This window comes from Homo sapiens, chromosome 2, assembly GCF_000001405.40.
Source record: "Homo sapiens chromosome 2, GRCh38.p14 Primary Assembly".
NCBI lineage: Eukaryota > Metazoa > Chordata > Mammalia > Primates > Hominidae > Homo > Homo sapiens.
Window position 1 is genome coordinate 239,151,216 of NC_000002.12, and position 24,894 is coordinate 239,176,109.

The window sequence follows — 24,894 nt, forward strand, 5'->3', positions numbered from 1 at the left end:
AGCCATGAGCCTATTGATGAGCTGTGGGACTTGACTAATGAAAGAACCATGAAGCCATGAAGTGGATGCCCACCGCCCCACCTTGCAGACCTGCGGACACAACGGGAGGTCATCTAGTCTGCCCAGGATATGGTGTCGTGGGCGCCAGCCTGGCCACAGGCCCTGTGCTCTTCCTCACCAAGCGGGACAGCTTCCCCCCAAAATGGAGGAAAACCCACCCTATCTGCACATCTAAGCAATGGATGGATGTTTCCCATGGGCAGCCGTGACCTTGAGTGACTGGTTTCAGAAGGCCCCAGGTGAGGAGGGCAGAGCTAGATGAACACTTTTCAAGCCTGACCATGGAGGCAAGTGCAGAGGGAGCCCAGGACCTTTGACTGACTGCCCAGATCCATGATCCATACAGGGGCCAACAGAATTCGGTCCCTAGGACCAGCCCAGCCTCCTCCCAATTCACACCCAACTGTGGGGACCAAGCCCTACCAGGCAGGCTAGAGAATGCCGGAACAAGGCTGAAGTTACCAACTTCTCACCAAACGTGAGCTCTGGGATTTTGCTTCCTTAAAAGAGCCAGGACAATCCATGGCAGTGCCACAGCCCAGGCCAGCAGCCGGGCCCCAACACATGCTGGGGAGAGTGTTTGCTGCTAGGACCATGTGCCCAGGGACACATGAGGATGCTGGACAAGGAGTGCTGTGGAGTGCACGGTTTTCAGTGCTCAGGCCCAAGAAGCTGCTGACAAATGGGAACGAACTGTGCTGGCTGGACAACAGTTAGTTAGTTGTTTTGGCCTCCTTTCATCTATCAGCAGTCACATGAGGGGAAAATTTAAGAGTCATTATAAAAAATACACGGTGACTAATATCTTTAAGAAGATCACGATGAAGATGTTACTGGGGAAAACTAAGATCCCTCAACATCATCAAAATGACAAAACGTTGCTTGCTTTTAAAAGTGGAAAAGCCTCCATTCCTCAGCGTGAACATGGACTCAAAGGCTCTGTTTAAATGCAGTTTCTGGTGAAGCCATCTGACACCCACACAGTGCAGGAAAGATCCAGCGTCCTATGTCCATGACAGTGATCCACACAGTTCTGTCTCTTCTGACTATATTTAAAAATACACATTTGGCGGCTTCACAAGTCTGCAGAAACCCAAAGTCAGGGTGACACTTGAGGCTGCACAGACATGGGAAGGGACCAGGCACCTCACCCTGGGCCGAAATCTGGCGGGAGGTGAAGACCTCTGAAGTGGAGACACCCCTGCTGCCAATCTCCCAGGAAAGGGGCGGGGCCTCTGGCAGGAAGAGCTGGACCTGAGGCCCTGGGTAGAGGTCTCTGACTCTCAAGCCCAGCGGTGGAGGCTCCTCCTGGGAGATGGCACTCAGGTGAAGGCAAGCCAGGAGCGAGGAGATGAGCCCTGAAAAGCCAACAGAGCAAGATGGGCCCTTCTGGCCAGATTTTGGGTATAAATCTTGGTGTTCCCATCCTTGTGGTCCTTCTCTAAGTGGAGGTGAGTGGCTCCTGCTGGTTTCTACCTGAACTGTAGGCATGGAGGCAAGGAGGTGGGGGGATGCTGGGTCTGGCAGTTACCAGTCATTGGATGGAGAAAAAAATCAAAAACACCCTAACAGCGTAGAGAAACAAGAGCAGAAAACACCTCGATCTGGTCCTACTCGAAGGACTTTGCAAATATTAATTAATTCACATCTCATGATAGCTCCAGGAGAGAAGCAATTTAAAGGTACATTTCACAGATGACGAAACTGAGGCACAGAGAGGTTCAAGAGCTTCCCCAGGTCCCAAGGTGGCGGGTGAAGGAGCTGGGTAGAAACTCAGGCACCTGGTCCTGCCCACAGGTGCAGGCGATGTGAATGCCCAGAATATGCCCAAGCTCCGAATAGGAGTCACTGCATTGCTTTCACCAGGGAGGTCAGACGTTTGAGCTGGTACAGGCGTTACCTGTCAGCAGAGCCAGCAAAGGACATGCAAAAAATGCATGGGGTGACGACAAAATTCACAAGACAGTGACAAAGCTTTTCACATGTTCACAGGTCATACAATTGCCCTTTAGAGATGCAGAAATGGGCAAACTGTGTGCCGGGTCAGGATAAGTTAATGTAAAATCAAAATCATATAATTATTTAAGTCTACATCACAATTATTAAAGACTATTTCAGTTCATTCAAGGAACTTCATAACTAAAATTTAATGACGTGTTTCATATTACCAATTACTGCAGAAAAGCACAGATATAACTTACTTAGAATGAGCGATGTCATGTGTTTGAAAGTAGATGTCAAGGGTGATACAGGGTGTGTAACTACACACTATTCTCTTAAGTGGTTTAAACGTTTTCTCGGAAATCTTTATGTTATTATTATTAATGTGGTAGTGATGACTTTTTAAAAAACTGATAATGCAATCAAATCTTAATTAAGTTCTTCTGGAGCACTATGTATTCTAAATAACATTTCCCGGAGTGTGAAAACAGAATTCTCTCTTCCGTTCTCAAGAAAGCAGGGAGTTGGAGGGTGGTGCTATCACAAGGTTAGAAGCACAGTAGAAGGTGTTGGAGACTTTGCTTCCAATCATCCCCAGAGAAACACAAGGCAGCATGGGAAGCCAACAGCCACGGAATCTACGAGAGATGGCGCGGGCCCTGCCTATGGGAGAAAGGCCTCTGATGGTGAACAGCAGGGCAGGGCCGTGACAGTGTGCCGTCTCCCATGCTGATAGCCTTCCTTGCTATGAAGTACTCAAGCTGGTTCTGTTTCTTAGAACAGGAGGCTGATCCCCAGGTAGTGCTGACATTTGGGATGGGGGAGGAGCCAGTGCAAATAGCTCCTAGGGCTCCCCCATCCCTGCTGTTCTGTTGCGAGTTGGGGTGTGGAGCTGCTGAGGAACTGCTCTGGGGCCTGATGGGATGGGTGGTGTGTGCTGTCCTTTCCTGGGGCCCTTGGTGGAAAGGCTCCAAATGGGGAGTTTCTGGGAAGGCACGTCCCCACATGAGGCCGACTTGCTGGGCTTGGTGCTCTCGCTGGAAGCTCCCTCCTGGGTCCATGGCTCTGGAGTCTGAGTGCCACAGCCATCACTCCCAGGACAAGAGGAGACTCTGGGGATGGGTGCATGCCACAGCCGTGAGGATGTGGGTGTGGGCAGACCCACTGTGCTGATGAGGAAATGGAGGCCAGGGGAACGGAAGGCATTTGTTTCAGGGCACACAGAGCTATTACATGAATGAGCACACATCCAACCCACAGCACTTGATGACAACACCTCCGGGCTCCCACCCTCCACCCTCGGCATCGCTCCAGTTTCTAGGGCAGGGTTCTTCCGGGTAGGCATGTTCCTTGCCTCCCCATTCCCCGGGTCTCTCTCCCAGCATAGGGCCCACCACTCACCGCGGACTTTGGTTTTGTTGATGGAATTTGATTAATAATAGCATCAGTCCCCAGAAAGGGAACCTGGAGGGCGATTTGTAAGAATCAGCCCACAGATTCTCTCCTGATACTACTGGGCACATCTTTCTGGAAAAAATACTGATCTCTAAATCCGTTCTTTCTGTCAAGCTTTAGGGCGCTCTCCAGGTGAAATCCAGGACCATTCTCAGTAGAAGCATCAGTAAGAACCACAGGCTCACACCCATGAAACAAAGCAGCAGAAGCTCTAGGTTCACTTTTCCCAATAAAGGTTTATGGCCCAAATGGAAATGCGCCCATGTTTGCAGGGTTCTTGACTTGGAGAGGACATGGCCGTGCTGATATGGCCCACTCCAGCAGGGTCTCCACCAGCCCGATACGGCCCACTCCTCTGAGGTCACAGCTGGCCTGTTATGACCCACTCCTCCAGGGACTTGGCCGGCCCCATACGACCCACTCCACCTGGGACATGGCCAGCCCGATACGACCCACTCCACCTGGGACGTGGCCAGCCTGATATGACCCACTCCACCTGGGACATGGCTGACCCAATACGGCCCACTGCTCCAGGGACACCACCGCCTCAATAAACCCTAATAGGTGTACTGGGAACATGGCCGGCCTGATATGGTCCACTCCACCTGGGACATGGGCCAGACTGATATGACCCAGTCCACCTGGGACATGGCCAGCCCAATACAGCCCACTCCACCTGGGACACCACCGCCTCAACACACCCTAATAGAGCCCACTCCATTGGGAACAGGGCTGGCCTGATATGGCCCACTCCACCTGGGACATGGCCCACTCCACCTGGGACATGGCCGACCTGATATAGCTCACACCTCTAGGGTCACAGCTGGACCAATACAGCCCACGGCTCCAGGGATGTGGCTGGCTGATATGGCCTACTCCTCTAGGGTCACAGCTGGCCTGATATGACCCTCTGCTCCAGGGATGTGGCTGGCCTGACACGGCTCCCAGCAGCCCCTCACAAAGCCTCATTGTTCCAGTGAAGAAGCCCTTGTGTGACTGAGTACGTTCACTGTTTCCGCCCAGAACTGGCCAAAACCTTTGGATAACAGAGAATTTGTTTAGCAAAAAAAAGCGGTGCCCCTAGGCTCTCATCTCCAAGAGCCGCCCCCTAGGGAGGACGCCTTGGGATTTCCCACACTGTCTTGCAGTTTGTAGGATCCACTGGCCACATCTGGGATGAGGCACTGCCCGCCCTCAGCACCTGCTCCAGCTCCTGCCCTCACCAATTCTCTGGGCAGAGCCTCTGGAAGGCACTCCCTGGCCCCTGCCCTTCTTGCTACCCCAGCGCACTGCCCACAGCCACCCTAATCATTATCTAAAGCCACTGCCGTGGCCCCTGAGAAAGTCACAGAGGGTCCGTCCTGACTTGCCAGACACTGCTGCAGCCGCCTCTCCCTGCTTCTAAGATGGTCCAGGCACCTGCTTGTGCCTAAATGCCCTTCTCCCTTGGCTTAGGACAGAACTGTGGCACATAACTCTGAGCCCAGCTGGGATATCCCCTGCAGGACATAGCGAATTTCTTTCTCATAAAGATTTCCCTCCCACTCTGGGGACCTGGAAGGCCCTGCTGCTGGCACTGCCCAGCGCCATCCCTGAAGGCCACAGGCTCACCTGCTCTCAGACGGCACATGGCCCACCAACAGGAACTTGCTTCACCCTGTGACCACTGCGGGGACGCCCCTCAGTGTGGCAAAATCTAACACACCACCGAAAGAAAACTAAACTGAGTGTGCTTTCAAAGTGAGTTTGAGTGTTCAGCAGTGGTGTACATGCGTTAGGTTCATTTCTTTTGAAATAAATAATAAGGAAATGTTTAGGGATATCTTTTAAAAACGATGCTCTATGAAAGGAGAAAATATTTAAAAATCTGCAGGTGATTCCTTCTCTAAGTGGAAGACAGCGGTGGGCCCTGCGTGGCTTGTGGCGTGGAAGGTGCCCGTGCAGGAGACCTCCCGGCCCACAGCATGCCTGGGCACTGACCTGTTTTCCTAAGAGGGAAGTCATCTTTGGCGTCGTACATTCCCAGGACCGGGTGGTTATAGGAGGTCGACACTCCGCTCTGGGGTGGAGAACTCTGGTCAAGGGAACTGTGCTGCGTTTTCCTGGAGAGAAGGCAAAGACAGATGGTTTAGTTTACCCAGCGCACTGCCCCAGGCATGCTGCAGCCGAGAAGCCACACACGATGATCTTTCCCTTGAAACCTCAGCCCCACCTCAACAGACACACCTTTTCCCTAGGGTCAAGCTGAAATTAAATGGAAACAAACAGGATGCTAAACAAGCAAGCAAACATCCGATGCCCACATCCTCCTCTGCGGGACCAGCAGTGCTTGGGGATGGGATGGGCAGCACCTCTGGCCGTTTTCCTGGTGGCTGTTCTCCACCTGGCCCTGTCCTCTCAGATGGCTCCAGCCCAGTCAGTTCGCTACCAGGGCCACCACTGGCCACTCAGAGAGCCTATCCCCGGTGGGGAGAGGAAGAGGAAAACAGTAGGCTGCTGCATAAGGAATCAAAGGTGAGTTCATAGGCAGCTGAGACGGGGCAAAAAACGGTCTAAGAACAAACGCTGTGATGTGTGGGACTCTCTCTGCCACCTGGAGAGAAGAAGCCCATGGGGCTGTCTCTCAGAAGGCACCCATCGTCATCCGTGCCTTCACCAAACTCACCCTGGTCACCTCCCTCTCTGGGGGAGGAACAGGATGGCAGCTACTGATACCCTGTGCCCAGGGAGCTGACCTACGAAAGGGACTTCCTGTATGAACAGCTGGGTACAACTCCACACCCTCCAGGCAGCAAGACAGGAATCGTCTGCCAGGAGAATGGCCGGAGGACGGACATGGGGAGGAGGCGGGCCCTGGGCCGGGACGGGGATGTGGGCTGCCACCCGGATGACCATCAGCAAGGCCTTTTTTGACGGCACTGACAGCTCAGTCTTGCTCAAAACACTGTGCTGAGTGGAATAAATTCTGAGTCTTTAAACTGCGTAATCTGCTTAATGACTACAAACAAATTTGCCGACTTACTTATTTGGAATTGGTTAGACTATTTGAATACATAGTATGGCACACCAATGCACCTGGAGTTATTTGAATTAAGAATGGGAGCTTGTAAATGGGTACAGGTGTATATTTAAATATTTGAGAGCACACCAGTGCAAAGAATGTGCTGAAGGGAACTCATAGACAAAATTGAGGAGCCGAGCCCAGGCACCTGGGCAGTGGGGTGCTGGGCCGTGCATCACAGGAGGAGCTCAGGGAGCTCCGGAAAACTGCACAGCTTCAGGCCACGCCCCAACCCCGCCCACTGCTCAGGGCACACCTCCAACCCCAAGCAGCTTCTCGCTGTTTCCCGGGGAATTCCACCATGCAGTCAGGCTCGGACTGCAGGGCTGGGACACGCCTGTCTGCACCTGTGCAGGGGCTGTGGCCTCCAAGTGGGACCACGTCCTTGTGCAAGCCTCCCTTCTCTTCCCTGTAGTTCTACCCCTCGTCTCACAATCTCATGAAAAGGTCTGGGGGCAACACTCTTTCTCTACCAAATAGTATTTTCAGATTGTATCCTATGGGGAATGTGATCTTGGCTGATTCCAAACTTCTTCAACACCAGGTGACAGTCTGGGACCATTTCCGCGTTCACTTTTTCCTTCATGGGAAACACGGAGTGACTTGTACATGCATCCCACGAGTTAAAAAGATCAGTATTTACATAATAATAAATTTAAATAAATGGAATAAAAATTATTATATTTGAACGGTAGGATTTGCTTACAGTGAAGTAGGAGTTGCAAAAGTTACATTGGTTTAAGATCTAACAGACGTTCTCTTACTATTCTGATCTCTTGAGGTGCTTTCAGTGTTAAAATCCCCACTTTCCTGTCAAACCTTAAAACGAGCAGAGCAGCAGGTGCAGGAGGGGCTGGGCCCTGCCCCCCAACTGCCAGCGCCTCCCCGCTGGACCACCTCGATGGATCCAGAGACCTCACAGGAGCGACCTCACCTCCTGCATAGCCCAGCTCACCGCCAGGAGCACACCATGCAGAGCCCGCCCCACCGCGCACCCGCCCTCCAGACACCAGGAGAGGGCGGCCCTCACCGTCAGGGCAGGTCACACCCGCCCAGCCCTGGTCACATGGTCCCAGGCCAGACCGCACACGCGTGCCCTCCGCGAAGAAGCGTCCAGCAGGGCGAGCAGAAGTGAAGCTCTATCCCTGCTGCAATCACACCCGCACCGCACACAATTACTCTCACTCACATCCGCACATCACACAACTGGTAACACTCACATCCGCACATCACACAACTATTCACACCCATGCCTCACGCTACTCACACCCACCCATACCTGCACCTCACACTATTCACACCCACACACACCTCACCCATACCTATATCTGCATCTCACTACTCACCTCCACACCTCACACACACACACCCGCACTTCACAATACACCCACTCACACCTGCAGCTCACCCAACTACTCACACCTGCACCTCACTACTACTCGCCCCCAATTCACACTACTCCCACCCACACCTCACATTACTCACACCCACATCTCACTTTTCACACCTGACGCTCGCACCTACACTACTCACACCCACTCACGCCCACACCTCACCTCACTACTCACGCCCAACTACACTCACACCTGCACTGCACACTACTCACACCCACATTCCACACCCCACACCCACCTCACACCCACACCCCCCTCACAACCTATACCCACCCACACCCCCTCACCTTACACAAACTCATGCCTACCTCCCGCACTCACACCCATCTACCTCACACCCACTTACACGCACACCCCACCCACACCCCACACACCCACACTTCATGCCTCACACCCACCCACACCCCACCTCCCACACACACACCCGCATCTCACACTCACACCTGTCACCTTTCCCACACCTCACACTCATACCCCACACTCACCTCACCCACTGCACACACCCACATCCCCCATTCACACCCTACACTAAGCTAACCCCGGCCACAGCCCACACTCACACTCACCCCGGCCACACTCCACACTCACACAGTCACACTGGCCACCCCACGGAGCCCTGAGGGCAGAACCTACAGAGCTGCTCCCTCTACCTCACCTGACCATAAATTATCTTCCGATTTTTCAACCTTTCATTTCCTGCAGCCTGGGGATGGGACACAGACGCTGGGCCAGGAGCCGAGGTGCAGCCCCCACGGGGCCCTGGGGCCAACCCGGATGCCACACCTAAAGGCAAACCTTGTCTTCCGGAGGAAGATGGAAAAGCAAATACTGTTTTCTTCTAAACACTGGCTTGACTGTAGAATAAAGCTTCATACAAACTCAACCATTTCAGTTCCAAACCATTGCCCTTTCATCAGATTCGTACCAGTGATTTCCAAGAAATACAACGAGGAACCACATACGCCAGGATACTCCAGCAGAAATGTACCATGATGGGAGCCACATGTGAAATTTACAATTTCCTAGTAGCCACATTAACATGGATAAAAATAAATGGGTGGAATTAATTTTAGTATTCGATTAAACCATTATAAAAACCATCCTTTCAACTTATAATCGATATAAACATATTAATAAGACACCGTAGGTCCTTTCTTCAGACCAAGTGTCTGAAATTCCATGCTCTGCATCTATGGCATGTCCTGGTCGGACCCAGCCACGTTTCAAGTGCTCGGGAGCCACGTGTGGCTTGTGGCAGCCACACTGGAAGGTGCCATCTTGTCTCAACAGTCTTAAAGCTGGAAGCGGTGACTCACGTAAACACCCACAGAGTCCACGCCCTGATGAAGCCACAGCACCATCCATCTCTGCAGCCTCCCAGCCCTGGTCTGCTTTCTCTCACAGTCGATTCACTTTGCTGACTCTGAATTTCCCATCAGTGGAGTCATGGGGGTGGCCTCTTTGTCTAGGCACCGTGCCTCTGGGGCTCCCCCAAGCTGCTGCAGGCGCCAGCGGTCCGTTCCTTGTCACTGCGGAGTAGCAGTGCAGGGGCCCCAGTTTGCACGGTAGCGTGTGCAGGGGCCCCAGTTTGCGCGGCCGTTCCCCTGTTGATAGCTTGGTTGTTTCCACTGTTTGGTGACTGTGACCGTAAGATGACGACTCGTCGTGTTGCTTGCTTTCATGTCTTGGGCAAATACGGAGAAGCATTGCTGGGTCACAGGGTTGGTGGGTATTTGTCTTTGTAGGAAACTGCCTGCCTGTTTTCCCACGTGTGATTCAGATTCCAACAGGCAGCACACAGAGGTCCAGGGACACCGCATCTGCTCCAGCACCCGGCCTGTTTCACTCCGGCCATCCCCACAGGTATGAAGGGGCTGCTTGCCGCAGTTTTGATTTGCATTTACCTGATGACCAGCCATCTTGAGCATCTTTTCCACACTTACTGGCCATCCCCATGCCTTTTTTTGTGAGGTACCTGTTCAAACCTTTTGACCGTATTTTTAAGTGGGCGGCTTGTCTTTTTACTATTGAGTTATAGGAACGAGCTCTACATTTTGGATACAAGCGGTTTGTAAGATATACGCATTGTGAATATTTCCTTCCATTCTGTAGCTTGCTTTTTAATTTTCTTAATGGTGCCTTTGAAAGAGCAGAAGTGTTTCAGTTTGTGGAAATATCATGTTTTGGGTTTTTGGTATCTAGCCGATGATTTTGGCGACCTAAGAAATCTTGCCTCCCCCTCCCCATCAAGGTTGGGAAAAGTTTCTACTAGGTCTCCTTCCAGTTTGATCAGTTTTGCGTCTAGGCTCAGGTCTATGACATCTGAACTAATCATGCGTGGTGTGAAGCTGGGATCAGGGTTTCAGTTCTTTCCCTATGAAGAGCCGGTTTTCTGACAAAGTTTCTGCCACCACTCCATGATGTTTAAGTTCAGGGTTCAAATACGGCAAAACAAGAAAACCACCAGGCTCCAGGAAAACAAACCTGTCCTATGGCTGACTTGAGATCAAGTCCTTCCCCCTCCAGCCTGAAGGTCCCCAGAGCCCTCTGAGAAGAAGTACCTCCGGCCCCTGCCATTAAAGCCAGGGCACGCCGCCCTTGTCCAGGCCAAGACACTCACCTTGAACACCCAGCTCACCCAGGGAGTTCCAGGAAAAGTCAGTCCTCCCAGCCCCAGCCACTCTGTTTGCCACCCCTCCTCCCTGGAAGCCCCCCATCTCCCGTCTCTCAGCACGTCCCTCAGCGCCCTGAGGCTGCCCCAGGCCACTTCTTCTCCCGTGGCCTCCTTGACTGCAGGTGCAGCCTTTCCTTGGGCCTGCTGCTCCGTCCTCCCCTCAGGTCCAGGCCACTGCCCGGCTTCTATTCCTGCTGGCCTCGGCCCCCCGTCCACTGTCCACTGACTCCTGGGCGAGGGGGCGCCAGCTCCCCACCTTCTTCCATGCTGCCGTGGCCACCCTCTGGGGGCTGCCCTGTGCTCACCGTGACCCCTGCTTCCCAGCAGCCCCACTGCTCTAGTCCTCCAACTCCCGCTGCAGCCTCCCAGACTCTGTGCTCCTCTTCAGAAAGGGCTGCCCGTGCTTGCCCCACTCCTATCACTGTCTTCTCAAAGCTCGCTTGCTCGGCTGCCTCACAGGGGGACCCAAGGCGGCCCTGCCCTGGTCCAGCAGGCTCTGCACTCCAGCTCTCCATCCTCCGCCAGGCCCCAGGCCCACCCTGCCCCTGGCTCCTCATCCTGCCCTTTCCAGCTTGGGCCCCAGGGGCACCATCTGAACCACGATCCACACTCCTGTCCCTTGCTCCTTCTGCCCTGCAACCCCACGCCCTGCCCCAGCCAGTAGGACAATGGAGTTTCTCCACAACCAGTCCAGGCAGTGGACTGGCTCTGGGGGCACAGATCGGGGTCTCCCCCAAAGCGGGCTCCCAGGTGCCGGTTGCCAGCGATTCTCAGGAAGCCACCTCCTCTCTCAGGTCCCAGTGGGTCACTGCTGTCACGTGCTGCCTCCCATGGACGCCGGTCTCACTCCTCCTTGCAAGTTTGTGTGTCCCTGGTCGAGTTACCCAAATCCAGACGGTGTGTCTGCCGTGAGTGCAGCTTATGTGCCACTGGCAAGCACAGCGGCTGCCAGAGTGGAGGACGTGGGCCACCTGTGCTGGAAACACCTTTTGGGATGTGTCGGGGTAGCGGGCGGCCTCCACGGAAACAAGGGGGATCGCGTCTGAGCTGTGGGGGGGTCTCACTACACATAGCTGTCCATTTTGAGGCTTGAGAATAGCTATTTTTTTTCCAACGAAATTACTGATATTTCGATTTACAAAAACTCCCTTATGGGATTTTTTTCTAGAAATGAAATGAACCTTGAGAGCAGCAGAAAACTACATTTCAAAGCGATCCTCTGTTGCCCTTGCTCACTGTTTCAAGCCGCATCACCTCGCCACTCGCTCGCACTGTGCTCTGTGAACTCTCCCCCGAAGGCCTTCTTTTGCATGGCAGGTCGGCTCTCTTCAGTCCTCAGACGAACAAGCCTTTTGTGGTCTCTGTCAATTGCGTGGGCCCTGGCAGGGTTTCTTAGTATAAAATAATAGAAGTACCACGGGGGCTTCCTGACTAGCCTAAGAATTATTGAAACGTCAGGTGGGAGCGCTGTCGGAGCACAGAGGATTCAGACAAGAGTTCCAGTTTAAGTGGCTCTTATTGTGGCTGAAAAATGGCACAACATTACCAAGAGTAACGACAGGCACCAGCCTCCGGAGCACTGCTCGGTCCCTCTGCAGGGGGGCCCACTCCCATGAGGACGGCCACCGTGTGAGTGGACCCCCAGACCACGTCACTCTGGAGGGGGGCCCACCCCGTGAGGATGGCTGCTGTGGAAGTGTACCCCCAGACCACGTCACTATGGAGGTGGGTCCCCCTGTGAGGGCAGGGGCAGCTGCCGTGTGAGTGTACCCCCAGACCATGTCACTCTGGAGGTGGGCCCCTCCGTGAGGACGGCTGCCGCACGAGTGTACCCCCAGAACACGTCACCCACATCCGAGCACCACTGTGCTTGGGGTTTCAATTCCTCACCCTCCTTCCCTGCCTCCGGTGAAGAGCTGGCTCCATGCAAATCTACCGGCGATCAGACAGTCCTCTGGGCCCCCAGAGAGGAGGCCGGGGTGCTCCCCACACCCACACTTACCCGTACCAGTAGCGAGGGTCGCTGGAAATGCAGTGGTTCAGATTCCGGTGGGCCAGCGCCTTCTTTTTATTGAGGACAAATTCTTGTAACTTCATCTTCACTTCTGTGCTGGCCACGGCACCTGGCGTGGGAGAAAGCATAGCAGGGGGTGAAGTGTGGCTCTGCCCTACAGCAGCAATGCAGGGCAGCGGGGCCACAGAGGGAGGGAAGGGCTGGGGACGGCTATGCACCTTCAGGACGCTGTGGCCTCCTGAGCGCTTCCTCAAAGAACCAAGGCCGGGAGGGGTTTTAATGAGAGGTTTTCTTCCCATCAAGATTTTACATCATTGCATTCTATTTAAAATGCAGATTTAATCATCCGAAAGACTTATTGTTAGCTAACACAAAACCCACTTCTGAAGGAAGTTTTAATATTCTTACATAAAAGAACACTCTGAATTAGGCAGTGGCAGCGTGGTGGTTGCATTCTTGCTACCGCAAAGCAGAATCTAAGAGAGAAGGCTTTGTGCAAATGGATGCATCACGCAGGGACAAAGCCAGTCTCACAGGCAGGCGTGCTTCCTTCTACACCTGCGCCGACATGACGGCCGGCTCTGCTTCCAACAGCATCAAAGGGCAGCGCCTGTCCTCCCCAGCTTGGCAGCTCAGACTCAGGCAGAGTGACTGCACCAAGTGGGACCGAAGTCGAAACTGTGGTTTTCTTCCGTGGCGGTGATTCTTTTTCAAAGCCTCATTAAAGGGAACTGGCAAAAAAGGCCACTCTCACCGCCTGAACACAAGGCCTGTTAGCACGGAGGCTGCTCGCCTCAGATCTCCAATCTAACCACACAGTACTTCTATCCTTCTTACAGCACCTTAAGTATCTTCCTAGTGTTGCATAATATTCAGATAGCGTTTGTAATGGTCAAAAACACACCTTGAGGTGAGTGAAGCATGTTTACAAAACCACTTCCCGACTGGGAGACAGTTTTGGTTGTTAGAAACCACGCTGCAGTGAACATTTATGAGTGGGTAACACTGACTACCTTTAGAATTACTTGCTTAGGACATCTTGGCAAAGTGACTACATCTAACAAACTTACTATTCTAACCCTCGGCACATCTTGGTAAATTGCTGTCCAAAATATCCCTACACATAGGCCAGGCCCGAAGGCTCACACCTGGAATCCCAGCACTTTGGGAGGCTGAGGAGGGCAGACTGCCTGACCCCAGGGGTTCGAGACCAGCCTGGACAACATGATGAAACCCTGTCTCTACTAAAAATACAAAAATTAGCCGAGTGTGGTAGCATGTGCCTGTAGTTCCAGCTACTTGGGAGGCTGAGGTGAGATAATCACCTGAGCCCGGGAAGTCCAGGCTACAGTGAACCAAGACTGTGCCACTGCACTCCACCCTGCGCAATGCGAGTTTAGACCCTGTCTCAAAAGAAAAAAAGAAAAACGAAACTTCTCTACACGCTGACCCCCTGAACCACCCATCCACCTGCAGCAGGGGCAGCTGCTCCTCCTGCTGGTCCTCAAATCACCATTTGCCCAAATCCAAAAGCCAGCAGGCATCACTGTGAGGCACCCCTGAGCACCACTGGACACGCGCCGATTTCCTCTCTTGCAAGATAATTCATGTCCTTGGCTTATGTGTTCTTAGAATCTTCCGGCGATGTGCACAGTGGTGTTGTGGGTCTGTGTGTGTGTGTGTGTTTCATACTTGTATCCACTGGAGTTGCGTGGGTTTCTTATGATAATGGCTGTATCGAGAGCCTAGTATATGCCAGCCCTGGCCTGGTTCGGCCTCGCATGAGAGCTATAAATAGGTATTCTCATCCCCCGACTGTGGATGGAGAACACAAAGGCGGCCAGGTGCGCCTCAGGTGAGGTTGGCTCAGTTACCAAGTCTCATGGACGCCCTGGTTCGTGGCTCTCGGCTGCTCCGTGTGTGTGTGCATTTACCCTGCCTCTTGTTTCCTTTTACAATTTGGGTAAAATGTTCAAATGCTTGTTTTTATAAAGTCTATTTTAGTTTTTCCTTTGTGAGTTTTCCCTTTCCTTAAAACTCTGCCATTGTTCCTCCTTTCAGTGGTTAATAAGCCATCATTTTAATTTTATCCTTGGTTCTGGTGCTGGGTTTTCATTCATTTGGTTATTTGCTAAATTTTTTCATGACTCACTCTGATGGCTCAGAAATGGATTTGGCATATAAGGCTCTATGGATATTCTGACCAACTGCTAATAAATGATTAATATCATTAGAAAGATGTCTTTTCCTTGCCACCTTCATCACATACCAAATGTCTTTGCTGCCACTCACAAATGGAGTTTTTGTTAGTTAGGCTCATTCTGTGTTCCCTACGGCAGAACCCCACTCCCATTACATTAAGGTGGAACTTTAATGTCTGGTCAAGGGTCAGTCAGCAATGAGACGCCTGGAAACAGGGTCTACCCAGGCTGTGGTGGGGCCTGCACTAGCCAAGCCAGGGAAACACAAAGACATTAACTACACGACCACCAGCATGAGTCCGGGAAGGGCCACCGTGATGCATGAGGCTTCAGGCTCAGGGCTCTCTGTCGGTCTGAGAAAATCATGTCATTGCCCGAGTCAAGCTGTGCCTGTGACGTCCCCCAGCTCATGCTGCTGAAGATGTCTCATCACCTAAGTTGTGACTGCGGTGAGCACTGCCCCAGGTAGGGTGGCGGTGGGGGGACAGGAGGGATGCTTTTTCAGGGCACCCGGCGTTAGACTCGAACATCACTTAGAAGCACTTTTAGCTGAACTGTCTGTCTGTAAGGGGACTGGTCAGAAGATCACACACTTATGGAAACCATTCGCTTCTACCATTCCCAGGCATGTGAGCACTGGCATTCCTAAAAGATTATCAGCAACAGGCTGCTAACTTTGGAAAAACAGACCCAGACATAAACCAGAGAGTTAACCTCGTAAATATACAAACTGCCTCCACAACTAGGAATAAAAGGAAAGGCCGGGCGGTGGGGAAGATAAGTGAGCAGAGAACACAGAAGGCGAATTTCAAAAGGAGAAGGCAAATTTGCCAATGAGTATGTTAAATCAGCTTAACTTTACTGATAAAAGAAATAAGAAGTGAAATGGGTAACTTCAATTTTTTGCCTTTACACGGATAACATTTTTTTGGGTACTACCCATGCTGCTGACAGTGCAGGGAAGTAGTCCAACCGCAAAATGATGCTGGTGACAGCGACAGTGAGGATGAGGACCCAGATGGCCAGTTGTTGGAGGGGACTGCCCTGCAGGTCCCCCTACATGGCCGTCCTTGAGTGGAGGCAGCAGAGCAGGACAAGAAGCAGGTTCTCGGTGTGCGGGACGAGGACGCCCTCAACACTTTCCAGTAGACCCAAACTCAGTGCAGTCAGCCTTACCTGCTCAAAACACCAGTTCCCAGGGACAGCTGTTACTGTGGATCCACTGGCCCTCCACGGGGGAGGGTGCGCACTCCAGGAACAGGACCCACTTTATGACCCACGTCCTCTCCCTGCTTCTGCAAACACCATTCGGTGGCAAAGGGTGACTTGGCCACAAGCCTGGGTCCTGCCTGGCTCCCTCTATGCAGGGCTGGGTGCTGGGCATGACTGGCGTTCATGCCCCATGCAGTGGGGGGCAGACATGACTGGGGTTCACACCCCACCCATGCCCAGCATAGGCCTGGCCAGCAGGAAACACGAGGAAGGTAAGTCTTCGATTCATGACCTTTCTAACCACCAAGGAATCTTCTTTTGATCTTTCAGACTTTACTAGGAGAGTATTCAAAATGAGGGGCTGATTCTGACCCCCACCCCGTTTCTGCACTTCTGGTTATGCACACGCTCATCTGTCAACAGGTTTCTCACTTAAAGTTCTAGAATGAAAAAACCCATTCAACAAATGGATAGCAGATCTCCCTAATTTTTACTTTTACTTTTTTTTTTTTTTTCTTAATTCACATTGAGTATCACTCATCCCCTGCATGGAGGCTTCTACAGAGGCTCTATGAGATGCCAGCCCGTTCTGGCCAGCAGAGATGAAGCGGTGGATAAAAGAGGCCAAGTTCTTCCCATACCAGGGGGCAGAGAGTGCACCCGAGACCTAAGGAATGAGCGAGCAACAGCTGAGCGGGGCAGAGAGAGGAGGACAGCAGCTCTGGGTGGGGCGGGGCGGGGCAGGTGGGGAGGGACGGCTGTGTTCGGGGAGGGACGGCTGTGCTCCCGGAGGGCCGTGGCCTGGGCCTGGCGAGTCCAGACGACAGAGCTGTGGCAGGTTCTGCTTGGCTTCTGCCTGAAAGTGCTCCTTTTTCTCTCCACCCCCTTGCCTCTGAGGAAGGCACAACTTCATGGAAAGGACACCTAATGACTTTCAGGATCAGCCTTTCACGTCATTTTTACACAGAGCAAAGGACTTGCTCAGTGACCTCCCTCCATTCCCTGCAGGGCTGCGCGTGTGGACCGCAGTGAGAGAAAGCGGGGCTGTATTCGCTCCACACTGCTCGGGCCGAGTCCAGCCTGCCCCTGCTCCTTCCCCGAGCTTATGTGAAGAGCCGTGTCTTAGATTCCCAAGTGCCGTTAATCTAAATCAAAACCTAGCTGGTTAAAGACAGTGTGTTCTTGCTAAACATGATGAAAACTGCCACCGTTCTGTCAAATGAATTGCATTACTTGGTATCAATAAATAAAAGTGCAGAATTATTTAAAATTAAAAGTAATGTAAATGTTTATAAGTGTAATGATATTTATTAGATACTCAATAAGAAATTCACTTAAAAAAAACCCAAGAGAATAAACAGATGCTGTGCACCGTGTTTTCAAATGCTTAGATGCTGGCGGTGCTTCGTGTCCCCCGCGCCGGCCCGCCACTGCTCCTCCAGCCTGCACAGACAAGAACCTCCTTCATGGGGGAAGACGCCGGCTTGGGCCCCGCTTACATAAGAGCCCCCGAGTGGCGTCCACCACAGGGGCCTGCGGCCCTGCGTCCTCACCACAAGACCACACTCTGAGGGCTGCAGAGCCGACACAAGCTTGCCAAGTACCCAACTGTACACAGTTTATTATTAATAATAAAATCTGACCACCCAAATCCTCAGTGAAAACCACCGGGACGGCCGCCTGTGACGGGGCTAGAGGGGAGCAGGAACATTCCAGAGCTCCAGTTAAGGGTGGACGGCGCTTCGGATGCAGCGCAGGGATTGTTTTGGGCTGGTAAACGGATCCAAAATGTTTTCTGAAGTGAAGTCTTTTCATATTCTGTGAGCCTCAAGATGGTATTTTTATTGGAAGAGTCTGGTAAACTCTGAGGAAGTAATTTAGACCAAGCTGCTTTTTAGCAATCTGAAAAACTCTTATTTGTTGGTTAGTTGTGGCACAAATCACCCAGCTGATATTTAAATTTTAAACTTCAATTCTTTGATAAGCAACTATTTTCCCTACTCCAAAGAAAAATACATAGGATACACCCTGGGCTACCGGCGAACCACAGAAGCGTGGAGGGGAGGCCGGACCCCAGGCAGAGGCCCCAGTGCTTGGGCCCGTGGCGCACACCCGCGATGTGGGTCCCACGCACGCCTCCTGCACTGCAGCGTCACCAGCACAGGCCAGACAAGTCAAAGCCCCGCGCACAGGGCTCCCACGGGGACCGCGTGCTATTGTCTACGGAAGGCAGCTTTCTAAAGTGGAAAGCAACCCCACAGGGTGGGCCCCGCCCAGCAGGCCGTGGAGCCCCTAAGATACTCAGATTCCTCACACGTGAAGCCAGAGGGCTCAGCTGCGCTCCTGGTCCTCAACCCAGGCAACGCACTAGGCAGCTTCAGAAGCAAGAACACTGCCAGCCGGGTTCCACTTGGGATCAGTTTGGCAGAACACCCTGGAGTGAACAGAGACCCACAGCACAGCCGTCCACTACCGAGAGGGCCCGGATCTGCATGCAAAGACCAGGCGTGCGTGTGTGCAGCCCTGTCTGCAGGGTCCTTCTCCTCAAGGCCTCTGCAGCCATGTCTGGAAGCTCTCCCCTATGCCGCCCCGTCTCCTCAAGGCCTCTGCAGCCATGTCTGGAAGCGCTCCCCTGTGGGCAATCCCTGGGGATTAAGTCACCACCTTATCTAATCAATGTGCCAGGAGCCAGGGCCATCAGGCAGATTTGGTACTCACTTTCAAATCCTGATGCAAAAATTAGACCTACAATGGAATATAAACCCTCCTCAGAGGCCTTCTACCTTGAAATTCTACCAGTTAAAGTGAAAAAACATTTAAAGTGCATTTATTATTTCAAGAGTAAAATGCTGTGATAATTGATAAAAGTGTTAGTTTTATGGACAAAAACAATTACTAAGAACTTGGAAATAGCTAAATAGAGGAATAAACTAAAAACTCAGAGAGTGCATTAGCTATGTACTCTTAGGAAAAATATATCTAGTCTGAAATAGCAAATATTTATAAAAATGTACAACATAATATAGGCATAATAATACAGTTTAGATTATATCCCAATTCTAATTTAGCATTAGTTATAACATTCATTACATTAAAAATAAACTTACAAACTGAATTTACTTAATAGTTATTTAATTCTTTTTAGAACACAAGGATTTCAAATACAAACAAATGAACAAAAATGTCCTATTTGGAAAAACTTCAAATCTAGTGCAGATTAATTAAAAGCAAAATGCCAATTTCACAATCTAAAAATTATATGAAGGCAAATCACCAAACACACCAAATATTAACATATCCTTTCACTCCAGACAAAACGAAGAACATAAACAGTATAAAGAACAGGTTAGGAAACCTGGAGTACTCCAAGCACATGGTGTTTTCAATAATGTAACTTCAAGAATTTTTATTCAGGTAATTCAATTAAACCTACTGGAAATGGTCAGAAGATCTAGACAAAGCACCCTAGCCTTCTGTGTGAAGGCACAGAGAACAACTAGGGCAGCATGGAACACCAGGGCCGAGGTCAGAAACAGGGACCGCGGGGAGCAGGACCCCACCCTCGGGTAGCCTGTTCTCTAGACTCAACAGTGGGTTTCGGAAGAGGCCCTTGATAGGGCCACAAAAACTGAGGAAAATTAAAGGACCCCAATAAACCTCATGAGCTTGTGCGTAGGACCTCAAAGGGATATGCCTTATGAGTAACGATGGCCAGAAATCCACCAGGCCTTTGAAGGCCTGAAACCCAACTCAGAATCAGCTCCAGACCTGACTGCATTCAGATGCTTAAGAAACTTGGCCACTTCTGGTCAACTGCAAGAAGGAAAACAAAGTCCACTCGAAAAGAATGTGTCACCATCCCAGGTCCCCCATCATCACAACAGTGCAAAGTCAGACATGCAACCTAAAATATCCAACCATAGAAATAAACACAATCTGACCAAAAAAAAAAAAAAAAAAATGAGAGAAACAACAGGCAGGAAAGCCTTGCCACAGGGCCAGAGAGTGTTACCAGTCAGACTCCAAAATAACTGCACTACGTGCAGAAAAAAATAAGATCAAGAAAGTCTATGGAAAACTATGAAAAAGGGCCAAATGAAAATCCTAGAACTGAAAACCAAATAAATGTAAAATCCAATGGATGAGTTTAACAGCAGATTATTGTGCAGGTAAAGCACAAATTAGGGAAGTGGATGATAAATTGGAAGAAAATACCCACACTGAGGCAAAAGAAAAAGGAAACAAAGACACAAAAATAACTTAAGAAACTTAGGGGATACTGAAAGCTAATCCAACACAGGTGTATAACTAAATCCCAGATAGATTAAATGGAGAGACTGGGGCAAAGTCAGTATCTGTTGAGGTGAAGTTTGAGAATAATCAGGTCTAAGAATTCATAACAGTATAAAACAACAGATTTAGGAATTACAAATCCCAAAAAGAAGACATTAAAATGAAAGCAACTACAGTTAAGCACATTAAAGAAGAACTTCAAAAAACCAAAGACAAAATCTTAAAAATAGCTAGGGAAGAAAGATTATTTCCAAAGAAGGAACAATAGGATGGACAGCTCATTTCTGGAGATTAACAATGGAAGTCAGAAGAGAATGGAATGGCATTCTCAAAGTGCTGAAAGAAAATAAATACAAACCTAGAATTCTATACTCAGCAAAAATAACCTTCAAAGATTAACCTGAAATCACATTTTGAACAGAAAGAAAATTCATCACCATTAGACCCACATTAAGGTAAACAAAGAATATCACAGATGAAAGTTCAGACATGCAGAAATTAATAAAAGTGGAAAGGATAAATTTATGAGTAAATCTTGACTATATAAAATAATAACAACAATGTCTTGTGATGTTAAAGATAAGTTTAGAGTTAAATACAGGTCAAAATAGTATATAAATTAAGAGTTAAAGTATCCCAGACCCTTACTTTGCCAGAATTGGCAAAAGTATTAATTTAGATAAGGCTGTGATAGATTAAAGACAGTTGTTGAAATCCTACTGATAATCAGTAAAGAAACAGCAAAATAGTGATTACCAAGCTGGTGAAAAAAAATATATATATATATATATATATATATCACTAAAAACATACACTAAAGGCAAGACAAGTGCATTAGAATAGTTGAGATAATTATAATTCATATTGTACAATGATAGATTTAAGCATAAATATATCAATAATTACATTAAATGTAAATGGGCCAAACTAATTGAAAGACAAAGATTGTCAAACTACGTATCAAAACTTGTGGGATGCAGATAAAGTTGCATTTAGAGGAAAATGTATAGCTATATAAGCATATGTTAGAAGACAGAGCTGAAATCAATGCTCTATGTATCTATATCAAAAAGCTACAAAAACCACAATACACCCTAAGAAAACAGAACATAGAGAAATAAAAATACTAGAAATTAATGAAATCGATATTCAACAAACAACATCCATAAAGTCAAAAGCTAGTCTTTGAAAAGAATAACTGATAAACTTCTGGAGAGAGTGACCAAGAAAAACAAAAGCAAAACAAAACAGCAGCAATAAAGAGAAAAAGCACAAACAACCAATATCTGGAGTGTAAAAGAGGACATCATTAAAGGTCTGACAGACATAAAAAACACCAGAAAAGGACATGACACCAAAAACCACTAAGTCAAAAATACAAAAATGTATAACAAAGGCATATATTTCTTTTAAAAAAATACAACTTAGCTAAAGTGAGCCGGGGGGGAAAAATGTCCCAGGAACTATTTTAAAAATTGAATAAGTAATCAAAAACCTTTGCACAAATGAAATCTTAGGGTTAAGATGGCTTTAGCAGTAAGTTTCACAAGATATTTATGGAAAAAGTAATATCCATGTTAAATAAACTTTGCCAGAGAATACAAAAGGAGAGAGGAATGATGCTTAACTCATTCTGAGGCCAGCACAGTCATGACACCAAAACTTGACGAGGACATTATGAGAAAGGAAACTGTTTGGCAATCTCCCTCAGGAACACAGTTGCAATCATACAAAATAAAATGTTAGCAAATCCAAGTTTTCACTACATAAAAGATAATATATTACAATCAAGTTGACTGGGGTTATTTTAAAAATGCCAGTTAGAATTTATATTCAAATAAATCCATATGCTTTACTTCATTAACCACATAAAGCCAAAAAATCATACAATCATCTCAAAAGATGCTGAAACAGCACCTGACAAAAATCAATATCCATTCATATTGAAACCCCGAGCAAACAAGGAATGGAAGGGAAACTTCCATGATCTGATAAATAGCACCTGTCAAAAACAAGTAGACAAATGAGTAAAAAATACAAAGCCCCTACAGAAAACATGGCACCTAACAGTAAACTGGGAACCAGACAAATGTTCCTGCCATCAGGACCACAATTTGATACTATATTGGCAATCTCAGCCCATTCTATATAATAAGCAAGTAAAAGACATAAAAGGTATTCCAATCAGAAAAGAGGCAATCTTCTCATTATTTATAGATGACAGGATTCTAAATGTTGAAAATTCAAAACAATCTATTAATGATTAGGATATCTGAGTTTAACAGGGTTGCTGGACACAAAGTCAATGGTCAAAAACTGACTGCTTTTCAAAATTATAAAAACCAAGCCATTCACAATAGCAACCAAAGCCATCAAATGGCTTGACATATATTTAATCAAATATATGCAAGCCTCCTAAACATAAAACTATTAAGAAATTATTAAGAAAAATTAAAGAAGGTAAATAATCAATGTTGTAAAAATATCAGGTCTTCCTAATTTGAACCACAGAGTCAATGCAATCACAAACAAAACCCCACTAGTATCAATTCCAGGTACAATCAGCTCCTAGGAGATAATTAAAGAGGATGTATCCAAGATTCTGAAGAAAGGAAAGATTTCTTAAGGCACAAAATCATCTAAAGGAAAAGACTGAAACTGTATTAGAAGGGAGAATTTCTGTGCCTGAAAGATAACATTAAGAGAGTGAACAGGCAAAGTACAGAGTGGAAGAAGAGATTTACAGCATGTACAACTGGCCAAGGGTTGATTCCATAATATATAAAGAACAACTCCAAATCAAGAAAAAGGGAGACCTCGCATCAGAAAAATGGGCAAGAGACTGGAACAAGCACTTCACAAAAAGGGGAATATTCATTCGGCAAAAAAAACTTATGAAAATAAACTATCTTATTGGTAATCAAAGAAATGTAGCTGAGGGCATGAGGAGGAGCTGAAATTAAAGTGACTGACAGCAGCAAGTGTTGACAAGGACATGGAGCCACAGGAACCCCTGTACATGGCTGGTAGGAGTGTAAACTGGTACACTACTTTGAAAACTTTTGGGCATCACGTATGAACACTGACAACATGCATGCCCCAAAGTTCAACAACTCCACTTCACATTTGCCCACATGTACCAAGAAACATGTACAAGAATGCACATAGCAATACTGCTTTTAATAGCTCTGGTTAGGAAACAAGCCAAATATCTAACAACTTTAGAAGAAATGACTACATTGGTGCATTTATAAATGGGACACCATGCAGCAATATATAATAGATAATGAATGACCTCTTGCTAAATGCAAAATGGGGATGAATTTCACAAGCATAATGTCCACAGAAAGAAGCAAAACGCAAAAATCCTACATATTAAGGGTTCCATTTACATACATTTCAAAAGCAGGCAAAATTAATCTTCCATGTTAAACATCAGGAGAGGAGTTATCTTTGGGGAAGGGGGAAGTGCATAAGGACTTCTCTTCTGACTCATGGGCCAGCCCTACAAGAGTAAATCCCTCTACTCTCCTTACCTGGAATCCTGTTACCTGAGGAAAATGTATACCTCGACTCCTTTTCAGTATTACCAGGGAACAGACAAATTTAACTGAGCATGTAAGTCCTGGGCAGAAACTCGGAGTGTCTATGAAAGTCCCTTCACTCTGGTGATTAGATCCTGACTGTCTGTGTCACTTAAAACAAGAAGTTGTCCATGGAAAGGATATAAACACACAGTGAGCCAAGGGCTCTTTTAAGTGAAGATCTGAGAGGATGCTCAGAGCTGACTCAGCCCCACGGTGGACCCTGCACCCCGGGGACACGCCAGGGCTCAGACACACTGGCGACGCTGGGCACCGTCCTCGTGCAGAGGAGCCCACGGGTCATCGTCCCAGCAGCCCACAGTCAGCAGGGGCGACACTGTTACCTTTTCCTCAGTAGATGCGTCCCTCTAACTGTCCAAAGTGGGAAACAGCAAATACAGTGTTCTCCTGGATAGTATGAAGTGTGGGCTCTCCTTAGAAGAAAACAGACCATGCTGGTCTCCAGATGTACAAACACAGCCCCCACAGAAGGCAAAATTCAGAGTGGAAGGAGCAGATAGCAAGAGCACGCTGCTGGCCCTCACTGGGCCGTGGGTCACTCTACAACCTCACACCTGCTTTGAAGGCACTTATAAAATGCTCCCGAAAGAAAAGTACTTTGAAAAATGCAGGGCAGAACTCACAGATGAAATTCACTGTGCATCTGGCATGCTTTATGGCTTTTAATATTTTTAAGTCTATTAGGAATCCTGCCAAATAGTCTTTAAAATGTTTAAATCAAACCAAAAGTCGGGCTGAATGCCCCTTGCTTTGATGTTAATATTGAATCCTGCAGCCCTGGATGAAGATAAATCCATGGACTCTGGTTCACTGGGGGAGCTAACCATGGGTGGGCTGACACACTGTCACACTCACTGTCCCTGTCAGGGGGTGGGGGTCCCATTCCTGGCCTGCTTCTTAGAAACCCAGCACAGGCAAAGTGGCAAGAGTCACCATGGTGAGGCTCAGCTGCCCCTAGATCTTTCCCTACTCCCCGTGTGCTGC

General features: G+C 48.8%; 1 protein-coding gene across 46 annotated transcripts in view; it reads right to left on the minus strand.

Moving 5' to 3' along the window:
- Window positions 1–24,894, minus strand: part of HDAC4 (histone deacetylase 4) — a 353,482-nt gene that overhangs the window by 103,048 nt on the left and 225,540 nt on the right. For all 46 annotated transcript variants that reach the window (XM_047446489.1, XM_047446486.1, XM_047446483.1 and 43 more), the window contains 2 exons: window positions 12,588–12,708; window positions 5,437–5,558 (listed from right to left, as the gene is read on the minus strand). In XM_047446489.1, the coding sequence (XP_047302445.1) occupies window positions 5,437–5,558; window positions 12,588–12,708 (243 nt within the window). The remainder of the gene's footprint in view (window positions 1–5,436; window positions 5,559–12,587; window positions 12,709–24,894) is intronic.